The sequence below is a fragment of the Homo sapiens genome, chromosome 14, assembly GCF_000001405.40.
Source record: "Homo sapiens chromosome 14, GRCh38.p14 Primary Assembly".
Taxonomy (NCBI): domain Eukaryota; kingdom Metazoa; phylum Chordata; class Mammalia; order Primates; family Hominidae; genus Homo; species Homo sapiens.
In genome coordinates, this window is record NC_000014.9 from 81,435,357 (window position 1) to 81,450,729 (window position 15,373).

The following is a 15,373-nucleotide window of genomic DNA, read 5'->3' on the forward strand; positions in this document are numbered from 1 at the left end:
CCACTCCGTATAATAAATAATAAGAGCCGGTATTTATTGAGTGCTTAGCGCTGTGCTGGGTGTTTTTCAGGCATTGGCTCATATAATCCTCAAAACAACGCTATCAGACCGGTGCAATCATTATCGCCACCTTACAGATCAGGAGAGGGAGGCACAGAGAGTAAGAAGGACCTGCTCAAGGGGGAAACGGGGAGCGTCGGGAGAGGCGGGGAGGCAGGCAGAGACCAGGAGCTGCACAAAAGCACAGTTAATGATTCACTCACAGCCCTCAGGCAGCTCCTTCCAGTAGGGGTTGCACCAGAACACACGGACGCGCACACACACGCACGAATGCACACACACGCACACGCGCGCGCACACACGCACTCTCATCTTCAACTCTTCATCCCAGCGAGAGGCGGGTGTCAGGCAAATTGCTTGGCAACGCGCAGAGAAAACTCCATCCAAGCCCCACGTCCAGGCCGCCTCTGGGCGCTGTCCAGCGGGCAGAGCGCCTGAGGCCAAGCTGGGGTCCTGCCTCCCGACACCCCGAAGGCGGGGCGCGGCGCCAACCCGGGGTTTCAGGCGAGGGGAGTGTAGGGGAAGCACCGTCCCCAGGGACACCTGTTGTCGCCTCCCCACTCGGGCCGATGAAGACATCCTGGGCGTCCCAATCTCGAAGACACCCGTCGGCCAGAAGTGTCTGTGTATGGGGCCAGGTGTCGCAGGAGTCCTCCTCCACCCCTACCTGCCTTAAGCAGAGTCCCCTCGTCCTCCCCCACCCCGGGACGCCCGCGGCTGGTGGAAACGCCGCGCCTCCGCGTGGCTCGACCAGGCAGGCTCGGGGGCGCCAGGGGGCACAGCGGCGCTAGGACCTCGCGGCCGGCCCGCCCCCGCCCCCGCCCCCGCCCCCCGCCCGCTCCACCTGCGGGGCCCCTCTTGGGGGGCGCGCTCGCCTCCTGCTGCGGGGCGTGGGTGCAGTTACCTGCGCCGCGGTCCGCAGGGTCCCCGGCGTCCGCCGAAAGGTCGCCGCGGCAAAGCCGGCTTCTCTGGCCGCGGGATACCCACCCGGCCGCACTGCTCTCGCCACGATCCCTCCCGGCCGCAGCGCCGACGCCGGCTCCAGACTCGAGCTCGCTCTGCGCCCGCCGGCTCCCGGCGCCGCTCCCGCCGCTCCTGATTGGCCGCGGCGCGCTCCCGAGCCGCGCCATGATTGGGCAGCCGGGGAGCCGGGGCGGGGGGACTGGCCGGGCGCCGCCGGGATCTGCTGGCCAAGCTTCCCGCGCCGCAGACTCGCTTTCCCGCGGCTCCCGGGGCCCCAACCAGACCCCGAAGCTGGGATTCTTCCCCTCTGCGCCTAGTGGGGCCGGCCGTCCAGGCACGAGGCAACACGGAAAGCATCGATTCGAGCGACATGGAAATGGCGTGGAATGGGGAGCGCATGGGAGTCCCACCCGCTCCGCCTGCGGGCTGGTAGTTGAGACCTCCTAGGAGCGGGAATCATTGCTCAACCAGCCTCACTCCTGTACGTTCATTTATTGATACTTTTGACTCTACAAAGGGCGTAGGCTCAGGACAGTGGCTTGTAAACAGCGGGCGCCAAATAGTTCTGTGGACTCATATCGGACTCTACACACAACCTCTCAGTGGTCCTACCTGAGCTCTCAAAGGGAGAGCAACTTGTTTAAGGTCTTAATCACGCCAACAAATTATTAAAAACACCGTGCTAGGTGTTTAGGGGGAAAAAAGATAAAAATGGTGAGATCTTCAATTACAGGGAAGTTCATACCTAGCTAGAGAGATGAGGCTGGATAATGATAATGACCCTAACGTTTTTATGGTGCATATTATTTACTAGGCACTATTCCAAACGCTTTACATTTATTAATTCAGAAATACAGAGGCTGTCATAAGAACATCCATATGCCCCGTGAACATGTGGACAAGTGACACCAGTTTTTAGTCTGGAGAGATTTTCATTGAAAGACACACCAGCAGTCACTCCACACTGTGGAGGAGAGGCACTGGTTAGAACCGAGGGCGTATAGGGAATTGAAATTGCTCTGTCCTCCGTCTCTTCTCCCACCTGCCCTGAATCTTTCTAAGGAATGAAAACAAAACATAAATCTGGGTGCCACCAGACCTTTGTTCTGCTACTCATAAAACACCCTCTCTAAACACCCAGATAGGAAATGAGTAGAAGTAAGTAACACAACTTACATTGTAGGACCTTTGGCTTGGTGGCACTACCTTGAAAGCAAGTATGTAGACATTTTTCTACAGACATTTCCCCCTTGTTTATTCTCCTATGTTGACAGAACGCCTTGAGCAAGAAATTTGGCTTAGGAGAGAAGTAAAGACTCAAGGCTTTAACAGTTTCACCCACTCTGAACAGTGTTGACCCTTACCTTAGGGTGAGCTTACAGTCATTTACTTTGAGGAGCCCAAGACCCCAAGAGGAAATTACCTCTGTTTTCTCCAGTTTATATCAATGGACAAACACTTGATTCACTTCAATTTTTTTTTTTTTTTTTTTTTTTTAGCCGGAGTCTCGCTCTGTCGCCCAGGCTGGAGTGCAGTGGCACGATCTTGGCTCTCTGCAACCTCTGCCTCCCGGGTTCAAGCTATTCTCATGCCTCAGCCTCCTGAGTAGCTGGGATTACAGGCACGTGCCACCACGCCCGGCTAATTTTTGTATTTTTAGTAGAGACGGGGTTTCACCATGTTGGCCAGGCTGTCTCAAACTCCTGGCCTCAAGTGATCGGCCCGCCCCGGCCTCCCAAAGTGCTGGGATTACAGGCGTAAGCCACCGCGCCGGGCCTCAGTTGATTCACTTTATATTGAATAGGTGGACACGCATGGGTTGAACCTCACCTGGGAGGAACACCAGACAGAGCACGGGGTGGTGTGGACTGTGTGAGGAGAGTTCTTTCATGGGCATCCCTCTCCAAGCATCGGAAGCACATGGAGACATCAGCCCATAATTCAGGTTGCTGGCTTTCCATAGCTGTGGCTTCTGCCAAAGCAGAAGTTCCATTTGGATTGGTCAAACTATCACTCCAAAGAAGAAGGACTGTTTCAGCCAGAGAACCAAGCTGACCCAAGATGGTTTGTCAAACTGCTCAACCCTCATCACATCACATTAAACTCAGCCCAGGGATGACAAGTGAAAGGATGGCAAATGAAGGAAGAGTGACAAGTGAAAGAAGAACCTGAATTCTACTTCCATTACCTTGGAATCTTACTGAGGCCAGGAACTGCTTATGTCTTGGTCTGTTCTCTGTCTCTAGCAAAATGCTTTATTTAGTTCGCCCCCTGTATCGCATTTCTTCCCTGGTGACTACTGCTTAGTGCTCAAAACTCAAATATTCTTTCCTCTGTGAAGCCTTCACTCATTCTCCCAGGCTAAGCTGTGAACCTCTTGCCGGTCTTATATTCCCATAACATCAATAAGCAACAGCATTCTAGTGATCTGCTCAAATGGCCATCTTTCTAACTAGCACACTGTGCATTACTTAGCGATGTATCCTCAATCAGTGTATCCCCAATTAAGTAGGTACTTAATAAACATGAAGTGACTGATGAAAACCCCTGACAGGCTAATAGGGTGGTATTAAGGAGACTAGGGCCACACCCTATCGTGGTCTTCAACAGGGCATTCTTCAGTTCCAGACTGGAAGGATATTTGGTGTGGAGCAAAGCGATCATCCATCCAATCCAACAATAATAGGTAGTTTCTGTGTGTCAAGCACTGTCAGGCCAAGAGAAGAATAAGCTCTTCTTTAAATGAACACAAGGTGAAGTGGTGCAGTTAATTTACAAGACAGTTTTGCTATTTCTCAAAAAGTTAAACATAGAGTTACCATATGACCCAGTAATTCCATTCCTTGATATACACCCAAGAGAACTGAAAGCATATGCCTACACAAAAACTTGTGCACAAATGTTCGTAGCATCATTATTCATAATAGCTGAAGGTAGAAACCACCCAAACGCCCGTCGATTAATGATAGATAAACAAAATGTATTAAATAGCACAGAAGGTCCTCCAATAACGTTGTTTCATTAGGATGTTGATGAGAAAAAAAAGATCAACTCCCAGCTGAAAGTTTGCATGTTCTCCCCACATCTGCATGGGTTTTCTCCAGGTACTCCAGTTTCCTTTTGCATTCCAAAGATGTGCACATTAGGTTCATTGGCATGTCTAAATTGTCCCAGAATGAGAGTGATGTGTGTGTGTGTGTGTGTGTGTGTGTGTGTGTGTGTGTGTGTGTCTGAGAGAGAGAGAGAGAGAGAGGCTTGCGATGGAATGATGTCCTGTTTGGGACTGGTTCCCTGTTGGCGTGCTGAGCAGCCAGATGGGCTCCAATCACCTGAGACCTTGAACTGGAGTAATGGGGCAAATAATTATCTTACTTGTTTTTATTAATCTTTTAAAAGTGTACATATAGCTCACATTTATTTCCAAATTTAATATTAGAAGGATTTTTGCTCTTTATTTAGCAGTTTGGTGATGTTTTTGTGACCAGAAATGTGCTGGAGGAACTTTATTCTTGTTTATGTCAATTCCCTTATGGGAAAATTGGGGGTTTTTATACATTGTTTTGCTTAAAGGTTGCCGTTTCAAGAACCTATCAATGACAATAAGTGAGAACTTACTGTATATCCACATAATGGAATATTATTCAGGCATAAAATAAATGAAGTACTGATAAAAGCCAAAATATGGATAACTCTAGAAAACATCATGCTATGTGAAAGAAGCCCGAAACAAAAGGCCACACACTGTATGATTCTATTTACATGAAATATTCAGAATAGGCAAATCCACAGAGACAGAAAGCAGATTAGTGGTTGCCAAGGGGAAATGAGGAGTGACTGCTTAATGGCTATGAACTTTCTTTTTGGGGTGATGAAAATGTTCTGTAATTAGTGGTTATGGTTATACAACTTTGTGAATGTGCTAAAAACCACTGAATTGTTAAAGAAAATTCACTGCATGCTCTCTGAGAATACATACATTCTGAAAGTGTGGAAACCATCAGTAATGGACGTGTTGGTTAAATCCTACGGTATAGTAGCTAAAAGTGAAAAGGAACTTTTCCAAGCCTGTGAAAAGCAGTTAAATGTGGCTCCCACCTTCAGCATCCCAGAGAAGATGTACTCTTTAGATCTGCGTTTTTCAACTGAATGTTCTGAGATGATGGAAATGTTCTTTATCTGAGCTATTTAATATGGAAGCCACTAGGCATGTGTGGCTATTGGACACTTGAAATGTGATTAGTGCAATTTGAAGAACTGAATTTTAAATTGTGTTGAAATTTAAATAGCCACATGTGGTTAGAGGCTACCAATACAGCAGTGCAGCTCTTGCTGGCTTGGAGGACTAGCGCCATTTTAGTCGGCAGTTTGGAAGAATACTGGTGGTCATGGGTGTGGGTAAATCTGTGTCTTTATGTCTCACACCCAGATCAACCCTGTATCCACTAGAAACCCTTCATAAGATCTCACAGCTCCCACTCTTCTCCTCTCTATAAACTCTTAATAAACTTCAGTCCATAAGAGAGGGTTTAGTTTTGTCTTTATGGCAAAGTACTTCTTCCACCCCACACATGTTTGTGGGCCAGGCATTTTTTGGAACATGCTAGGAACAGGAAGGATTGTAGACAATGACAGCCAAATTCTAAAGGGTTGGTCTTGAGAAAGGTGAGAGGAAAAAGGTACAAGAGAAATTCATTACAAAGACCCGGCCCTTTCCCTCCTTCCCTCCAACACCCCACTCTCAGACACACACAGACACACACTCCAACACTCAGACACACACACACACACACTTCCAAGTAGGAAATCTTGCTAGTAAGATGCTGAAGTGGTATTGAAGAATCTTTATTTAGATTTCCTGTTTCCAGCTCAAGCTCCGTAACATCCTAACTCCTCCAATACATCCTCTATTCATATTGATCTTTTCCATCTTTGAACTTTTACTGTACTTGAAATCAATAACATGGAATGTAATTTTTTTGTTTTTTTGTTTTGTTTTTTCTTTGAGACGGAGTCTCGCTCTGTTGCCCAGGCTGGAGTGCAATGGCGCAATCTCAGCTCACTGCAACCTCTACCTCCCAGGTTCACACCATTCTCCTGCATCAGCCCCCCAAGTAGCTGGGACTACAGGCGCCCGCCACCACACCAGGCTAATTTTTTGTATTTTTAGTAGAGAAGGGGTTTGACTGTGTTAGCCAGGATGGTCTCGATCTCCTGACCTCGTGATCCGCCTGCCTGGGCCTCCCAAAGTGCTGGGATTACAGGCATGAGCCACCCCGCCCAGATGGAATGTAATGACTTTCCAATTGTTCTTCTATAATGTGGTGTCCTCACTGCAAGATTCATTTGTTGCACAAATATTTATTGGACTCATACGTATTTTGTGCCAGAACAGTCTCAACGGGTGTGGATATAAAGGATGAAAGACAGAGTCACTGGACAACTTAGAGCCTGATGAGGAGGCACACAAAGAAACCATTCTACCACAGCTCTGCTTAGATGTGTAGGAAGCTTCGCTGAAAGCGCAGGGCAAGGAGCTGCCAAGGAGACACAGAAAAATCAGGGAAGGCTTCTCAGAGGAAGTGATATTTGAGGAATTTGAAGGATAAGTAAAAATTTCAAGTTGCTTTTATTTAATTCACCTTTATTGTGCACTTTCAAAAGTTAGATTTAAGGTAGCTTTTCAGGAGAAGTTTTAGGACCTAATGTTGGAAAGAATGCATTAACCTCAGGGTCTGTTTCAACATCTGTGACAATGTTTTGTATTGCTGATGAGGTTCTTAGCTGGACAGTCACTCTTGCTGCCCTCCAGACTTATTCCTGAGAGGAAAACAAAATTAATAGAAGATAAGTCTTTCTGATATCAAGGAGTTTAAAATCTCTCGTGCTGTTGCAATATCCTTCTTACCGGTTTCTTGGGGGCTTATTTTCTTCTAATCCAATGTATCCCAAATTTCAGTCACTTACGTCCCATTGTCACCATTCTTACCATTTCCATGTATCATCTGCACAATTATGTACTTAATTCCTTCTTCTTTGAATTGGCTTTCATTTTGCTCAGTTTTCCTAGAAAGGATTTTTGATATCATTATCATCAATGAAAAACCAGTGTCATTTGCCATAAAGAGATCATTAACCATAAAAATCATACAATAAAAACAAAACTACACTATTTAATCTTGGCTGGATATTGTTGGTTGCTGAAGGTTCTGAGTTTGAGGCCCTGCTCTTTCTTTGATGAAAAGGGAGGTTACCAAGCCTTGGAGAGACATGAAACACATACAGGCACCAAATGGATCATTTCTCCTCAAGTTAATCAAACAGACTAAAAGAGAATTTTAAAGAGAATAACTCTCTCACTATATGAGCCAATGAAATTCAATTTCCCTTTTGCATACCACTTAGAACCAGCTCTTGCACCAAGTAAAATCAGTTTGTCGTGGGTACCACACTTGTAAACATTGCTCTGATCCCCCCCCTCTCATAGCGATTGGAATGATCTAATACATAAATATCATCATTTCTCTCTCCTATTAAAATTCCTTCAATGGCTCTTTATTACTTATGGGAAAAATCTTAGTTCCTTATGATGAGATACAAGATCCTCCTTAATTAGCCTTAGCCTACTTCTCCATCTTTAACTTCTGTCATCCTCCTCTTTAACTTCCCATTCCACCAATGATGATCTATTTCTAGTTCCCAGAACGTACCAATACCATCACGTTTCTGTGCCTTTGAACATACTCTTCCCTTTACCCAGTGTGCTATTCATCAACTAGTCATCCTTATCATCTTCCATTTCTCTTCTCTGCTTATTTGTATTTATCTGCCCAATACCATATGCACACCACCAACAATAACTACAGTATAACAGCATTCCTATGGAAACACCTGCCCCTTTCTTCTGGGGGATCCTCCTCCACTGTCTCCAAGCACATGATTTTAGCAGGAACTGATAAGTTCTCATGTGACTTCATATTCCTGACCACAGCTGATTGTCCTACATGTGGGCAACCCAACCAAGGTGAACCGATCAGATTTCCTGAGAATTTCATACCAAGAACAGCACATTGGAGTTATTCTTTCTCTGTTTTAAGATGCAGAGAGAAACTGAGGCAAGTAAAGTAGACATTGTCTACTCCAGGGGTCTCTAACCCCCAGGCCACAGACAAGTACTGGTCCATGGCCTGTTAGGAACTGGGCCACTCAGCAGGAGGTGAGCAGCAGGTGAGTGAGAATTATTGCCTGAGCTCCACCTCCTGTCAGATCAGTGGTTTAGATTCTCATAGGAGGGCTACCCCTATTGTGAACTGTGCATGCGAGGGATCTAGGTTGTGTGTTCCTTATGAGAGTCTAATGCCTGATGATCTGAGATGAACAGTTTCATCCTGAAACCACCCCCCTTTCCCCCACCCCTGCTACCATGGAAAAAATTGTTTTCCAAGAAACCAGTCCCTGGTGCCAAAAAGGTTGGGGACCACTGCTCTAATACACTTGTGCTGAAGACCCGCTATTTCCTTGCCCTTCCTTCCTTTAGGTCATTCAGCTTTTCCTTTTATTTTGTGAAAGCAATTCCATTTTCCTTACAATTAAGTCTCTTTTTCTTAAACTAGTTTGAGTTGAGTTTCTGTCACTTGCACCCAAGTGTCCTAATACATTCCTAATTGTCCTTGAGGTCCCAACAAATGCTACTCCTTTGTGAAGGCTTCCCTGACTCCCCCAGTCTCACAAAGGTGCCCCTTCTCTTATGCCATCCTGCATTTTGTTACACCAGACCCCCTTTTTAGCAACTGTCTTCGCGATCTTGACATTTTTGTGTGGGGAATAGTGTGTGCTGTCCCTGTCACCTATTTTGAGTATTTCATTAAACACACTGATGGGAAGCAGGATTTGAGTATTTCATTAAACACACTGATGGGAAGCAGGTTAACAACCCATTAACATTACGCTTTCAAAGAAGTCAATATGTACCAAGAAAAAGTTTTGTTTAACTATTATTAGCTGCTCCACTGTGAATATTTTTTTTAAACTAAGCTTAATCTTTAAAAGGACCTCAAGGATCTACCAACCACAAGGAGTTCTTCTCTCCTGCCCTTCCAGGACGGAATTAGAAATGTAGAGGCTCATGACCATGATCCCACAAATAGCAACCACCAGGACAGAGGCAGCACCTGGAGATGAGGGCAGAAACTGACGAGCACATGGAAGGGAGGGTCAGAGAAAAAGGGAGATCTGAGAGAAAAGAAACCCTGGGAGTTCCACCTGTCACCGAATCTCTCTGAATTAAAAGACAGCTTCATAAAAAATAAATAATGTCTTCCACCACCCATGAATTTACATCTGTGATCATAGTTAGCTAAATAAGATTGAATTCTTTTAGGAAATTGATTGAACCTTTGTACCCTCTCAGGTGTTACTAGCATGACACAGAAGTCACATCTGTTTGCACATTTGTCTCATGTCTAGACTGGAAACTTTTTTAGAGAAGAGATTCTTCCAATTTTTGAGATGTTGTTGAGCATCTCCCATAGGACCCAGCACTTAGCCCACCCTTGAGCTGGACTTTGATGATTTTAGCCTATATTTTGTAGGAATGCTTTCCAGCTGCAAGTATCAGAATAACCAGCTATAGTAACTCACAGAGTAAAGAAATTTCATTACCTGACCTGAACAGTCTGGACATTAGAAGTCCCAGAGTATCTTGTTTAATAATGGCAAAAGGGGCCAGGTGTGGTGGCTCACGCCTGTAATCCCAAAACTTTGGGAGGCTGAGGCAGGTGGATCACTCGAGGTCAGGAGTTTGAGACCAGCCTGGCCACCATGGTGAAACCTGTCTCTACTAAAAATACAAAAATTAGCCGGGCATGGTGACAAGCACCTGTAATCCCAGCTACTTGGGAGAATCACTTGAACCTGGAAGATGGAGGTTGCAGTGAGCAGACATCATGCCACTGCACTCCAGTCTGGGTGACAGAGCGAGAGCCCGTCTCAAATAAATAAAAATAAAATAAAATAATAATAATGGCAAAAGGACCCTGGCTCTTTCTACTCTCTCATCCTAGGCTTTTTGTCTCTTTATCTTTGGCTTGTTGCCTTGTGATTGCAAAATGGCTGCCACAGCTCCAGGTATCTCATCTTTAGAAAGCTTATTTAAGGAAAGAAGAAAGTGATCTGGGCTGGAAAAGAGGCTTTTTTTTTAATATCAGGGAGGAAAATCTTTCTAAAACACCTCCTCCCAACCTGGTAAATTCTCACTTATATCTCAGTGGCTAGGACTGAATCACATGGCCATGCCTAGTTGCAAGAGAGACGGGAAAACTAGTTTAGTATCTGACTTTTCCAGCCTCAGGAATAAAAAGTAGGTGTATTACTGGCAATGCTGCCCTTAAACCAAACAAATGGAGGCCTGGCCCAGGATCCAGGCCTCAGGGGTTCTACGCTTTGTGACACCAGCTGGGGCTGACAGTGCTATCTGGGTGGGTGACCCTGAGCCTGGATCAAGACCCAAATGCAACGTCCTCACTTCTGTTCCCATTTTTTCACCTCGGAGCACTCTTCACCCACTATCACTCGTGGAGTTGACCAGAGACCCCGAGAAGCTCTTGGATTCATATCTATGGGATCTTTTTGGTATCTTGTGGATGGATTCTTCATCCAGGAGGACTGCCTGGAGTGTGGATTGCCTCACTGGCCTGTGAATTATTTCTTTTGTTAGATCGCACAAGATTGAGCTGCCAGAATCGTGCTGGGGTGCTGATTTGGAGTGATTCTCACTCACATCACACACAGGATGAGTTCGAGGCTCTGAACTATTGATAGTTCTCTGTTCCCTGCTAACCTTCCGTGTGAGCTGCATGTGTGGGCCCATGCCCTTGTTTTAACTGGCTATATTTCAAATGCAAGGCCACCTCTGGACCTGAGGGCAGCTGGGTTGGGGGAGACATCCTTTACCCTGTGCTGGGACCCAGGGCAGTTACCCTCTACCCCGTGGGCGCCCCACCAGTTCCCTAGGGACAGTCATACCTATTTCCGTCCAGGGCTTTCCAGGCCATCACCCCACAATGCCAATAAGCCCTTCTGGTCCATGTACCCTCTCACTTCTGATCAATGGGGTGAGATAATTCTCTTGTTGGTCAGTCTTAATCTTTGTGGAAAGGGATACACATTCCTTGCATGAATGAAATTACTCTTTTTTTTTTTTTTTTTTAAAGAGACAGGGTCTCATTCTGTTTCCTGGGCTAGAGTGCAGTAGTGCCGTCATAGCTCACTGCAATCTCGAATGCTGGGCTCAAGCGATCCTCCCGCCTCAACCCCTTTGAGTAGCTGGGATTATAAGTGTGTGTCACCACATCTGGCTACTTTTTAATTTATTTGTAGAGACAGGGTCTCACTATGTTGCCCAGGCTGGTCTCCAAGTCCTGGCCTTCAGTGATCCTCCTGTGTCAGCCTCCCAGAGCACTGGGATTACAGGTGTGAGCCATTGTGGATGGCCCGAGACTGCTCTTCCTGTTTGTTCTATTGTCTCCACCAGTGGCAGTGTATGGAAGGCAGGGGTTTAGCCAACAACCAGAGAACATCCTCTGGGAATGCAGTGGTTAGAACCTAAAGATCTCTAAAGATCTCTCGAGCTCGTTGGAAGGGGTGTTGTTCTTGATAGGGTTGCTGGGAGATTCAAATGAGATTGTGCACCAGAGAATCCTCTGTAATCTACAGTGTTACACACAGATATTAGTTATTTTATTCCCATTTGACAGACAAGAAAACCAGAAAAGAGGAAAGTTAAACTCCTCCCGTGACAGAAAGGCCCCATGGGAGTGCTGCTGGGAAGGGAAGCTCTGGTTTCAGATGACCTGGGATGGCTCACTCAGCTCTGCCAGCTTCTAGCTGGGCCATCCTGGGTCAGTTTCTGAGCCCTAGTTCCATAGTTACTAAGTGGGGAGAACAATCCACCTATGTCTGAGGGTTTTGGTGAGCATTAAGTATGCCTGGAACTTGATAAATATTAGCAGGTACTCAACAAATATTAACTGCTATTATTATTTTATTACACAGATATTTGTAGGACAGCCACAGGTCTCCTGGGCCACAGCCCTGCTGTGCACTAGAAATGAGTTATGAAAAAGTACTTCCAAAATGAGATTGCCAGAGGCTGCAGCGGTATGTTAGATTGCTTGGCATTGGAGAGGCAATACAGCAGATGGGAAACATTACAGACTCAGGAGCCAGGAGGCCTGGATTTGGATCCTGACTCATTCACTTAATCATTAAATCATTTAACAGGTCTTTGGCAAGTTACTTAGCCTCTCTGTGCCTCGGTTTCTTCATTTCTGAAATGGGGATATTAGCACCCACCTTATAGGTTCTTATGAGGATTGAATGAGTTAATGTACATCAAGTGTTTAGGACAGTGCCTGGGTCATAGTGTTAGGAATTATTGGATGCTATGAATTTTATTATTTTGAATTCATTTAAAATTCAAAACAAACTTTGCTCTTAAAAATTCCAATCGGTGGGCTGGGCGTGGTGGCTCACACCTGTAATCCCAGCACTTTGAGAGGCTGAGGCAGGTGGATCACCTGAGGTCAGGAGTTCCAGACCAGCATGACCAACATGGTAAAACCCCATCTCTACTAAAAATACAAAATGAGCCGGGCATGGTAGCGCATGCCTGTAATCCCAGCTACTTGGGAGGCTGAGGCAGGAGAATTGCTTGAACCTGGGAGGCAGAGATTGCAGTGAGCCAAAATCATGCCATAGCCCTCCAGCCTGGGCAACAAGAGCAAAATTCTGTCTCAAAAAAAAAAATAAAATGGAATGCAATGCAATGAAATGAAATAAAATAAAAATAAAAATAATTCCAATTGGCTTTTATTTCAGGAAACCTGCATTTTAGTGATTAAAAAAAAAAAGAAAAAAAAGGTAGGCACAAAGATATACTCTCTGTCTTTGTACCTTTGCTTGCGTTGTTCCCTTTGCCTGAAATCCCTCCTTTTAGACCCATAAAACTATCACATATTGTCCACTCTCCCAGAGGCCAGGACTCATTCTATCACACTCTTGTCCCCCAAGCAAGACCCATGGCTCCTTTTTACTTCTCTGTGTAATTCTTGACATGTTCAATAAATGTTTCTCGAATGGAAACGTGAAAGAAAGTAAGAGACATTATTTTCAATTCTTGCAGTTTGCGAATGCAACACTGTAGTTCATAGTGGACTAATGTCCTCCCTCTCAGAGAATGAAGGGATTGGCAGAGTGACTTGAGGAGATGGTGCCAGTCTCAACAGTAGGAGGGAAAAACACAAAGAATAACAAACAGCCCAGTCTTTCACTAAAAGGGGCTCCATCCTCCAACACCATGTTTTCCTGGATTGGGGAGAAGTAGTAGCATAGGGTGACCCAGAGGGGGACTGTGGACTCAGGGCAACCTCTGTATGATTCCAATTCTGTTATCCAATGGCTGTTTAACCCTAGAACCAAACATCTCTGAGCCTGTTTTCTTGCCTGTAAAATGAGAGTAATACCGGCCCCAAAGTGTAACTTTGATGATGAAATGAGATAATAGTGCAATGCCTGGCACTTAGGGAATGCTTAATTAATGTTTTTTTAAATGAATGAAGAGGGCTTTTAAAGAAAGTGCTATTGTTGAGGGAGACTGCTATCCTTGAAAGCACAGAATTGCTTGATGCTATGCACTGTTTGTCGCAGATCAGTGATTGATTCTCCAATCTTCACGGGGCCACCTCCTCAGACTCTCAGTCCAGAGTTGAACCACAACCAATAAGTCTGGGAGGCAGGATTTGGAACCCTCCTTCCCAAATCCTTCTCCTCTCCAGCTGGCACAGAAACACTCCACATTTGCAGCTTCCACAGCAATTACGAGAACCTACACCCTTTTATTGTTTGACTTTCCCTAGCGATGGAGCAATCACATGATTTTCACAGGAAAAACAACTCTGGGATCGGAGACAGTCTGGATTGAGCCATGAACTTTCTGGTCCCTGTGTCTGAGTTCCCAGAGAGAAAAGACATTTGATGCTGGCAGGACGAGGGCTGAGCTGGACAAAAAACACAGCCAGCACATGCTCATAGCAGGCTGGCCAACTGAGCAGGTTGCATTTCAGGATTAAAAACAGTAACGATCCTAACAAAATAGAAGCTCATATATACTGAGTGCTAAGTACCAGGTACAGACATCGTCAAGCTGAATCATCACCACAATCCAAGATGAAGATTTTGTTATCTTCATTACATCAAGGGGGAGAAGTCAAGGGCTTAGATGGCATTTCACCCCTTTTGCACTCCCCAGAGCCTACGTGTTTATCCTCTAGCTCCACGTCTACCTGTAGCAGCAGCGTTTCCAAGCTCTTTGCACACAAATCTCCTGGAGATCTTGGAATGCAGATTCTGAGATTCTGCATTTCTAACGAGCTTCCAGGGAATGCTGCTGGTCCAGGGCCTTTAGTTGCAAGGGTTGGACCGGTGGTCTCAACCTTGGTTGCACATTGGACTCACCTGAAAGCTTTCCACATACTGATGCCTTGGCCGCATCCTGGAGAGTCTGATTTTGTTGGTCTGGGGTGCAGCTCTGGCACAGCATTTCTAAAGCCCTCCCGTTGAAGGAATATGCAGCCAGGGCTGAGACCACGGTTCTGGAGGGAGGTAATATCTGCAGGTTCTTGAGGATACTCCATTACCCTGAGCTCCCCTTTCCCAACCACAGGGACATCCATGGCTGGGCTTCAAGGACGCCCTTGAAGAGGCCTCTCCCAGAAAACTCCAAGCCCATGAAAAGGCCAGAGCCACCACCTGTTTCCTTGAAATAGTTAGCAGCTGTGCTGGGTGACCTCATCGCTCTGGCTCTGCCTCAGGCCAAGCTGCGATCTGAAAAGCCCTCCTCCCAAGTCGGGGCTCTCCTTGTGTTGGGGGCAGAGCGGGAAGAGCCGCAGCTCAGGAGGAGCTGCAGGTTGATGGCAGAGCCCGTCTGGGGCTAGTGGGAAGAATGAGAGTGCAGGGAGGGGGCACCCCAAGGGACTTCACAATGGGCAGTCCCTGGGGTGTGACGCCATGGCTGTGAGCGCAGCTGACTGCCTCACCCCTGGCTTCCTCCATTGCTCACCCTCCCCAAACACTTGGGAACTGATGAAATCACGAGGGGGTTCTTGTCCCCCTCCTGTAAGTGATGCATAAACAAACAAACATTGAAGTATGCAAGTAAAAATGCAAAGCCCATTTCTTTTTTCCCGTTTCCAAGAGGTAATCACCTATAGCAGCTGGGCTTATGTCCTTCCAAATCTTTTCTATACATCAGTGTGTGTATTTCTACACACAAACATACATATGCAATCCTGTTTTA

General features: G+C 46.1%; 1 protein-coding gene and 1 long non-coding RNA gene across 9 annotated transcripts in view, besides 1 other annotated feature; both read right to left on the minus strand.

The window, feature by feature from the left end:
- STON2 (stonin 2) overlaps positions 1–1,109 on the minus strand; it is a 175,814-nt gene extending 174,705 nt beyond the window's left edge. For 6 of the 8 annotated variants that reach the window (XM_024449736.2, NM_001366850.2, NM_001366849.2 and 3 more), the window contains exon 1: positions 965–1,109. The gene's annotated coding sequence lies outside the window, so the exon portion shown is untranslated. Of the gene's footprint in view, positions 1–263; positions 823–964 lie in introns of those variants that run through there. The other 2 variants (XM_024449735.2, XM_047431813.1) reach the window with 1 other exon arrangement.
- Positions 1,110–6,630: 5,521 nt separating this feature from the next.
- Positions 6,631–14,801, minus strand: LINC02308 (long intergenic non-protein coding RNA 2308). The gene is made up of 3 exons (NR_109999.1): positions 14,533–14,801; positions 6,929–7,086; positions 6,631–6,840 (listed from the first exon to the last, which is right to left on the minus strand). It is a non-coding gene; the product is annotated as a long intergenic non-protein coding RNA 2308 (long non-coding RNA).
- Positions 14,124–15,098: an enhancer, noted in NCBI's record as "H3K27ac-H3K4me1 hESC enhancer chr14:81915824-81916798 (GRCh37/hg19 assembly coordinates)". NCBI's record gives its function as "activates a minimal SCP1, AML or CMV promoter by ChIP-STARR-seq in primed H9 embryonic stem cells {active_cell/tissue: H9 hESC(primed)}" and the evidence as "EXISTENCE:reporter gene assay evidence [ECO:0000049][PMID:30033119]".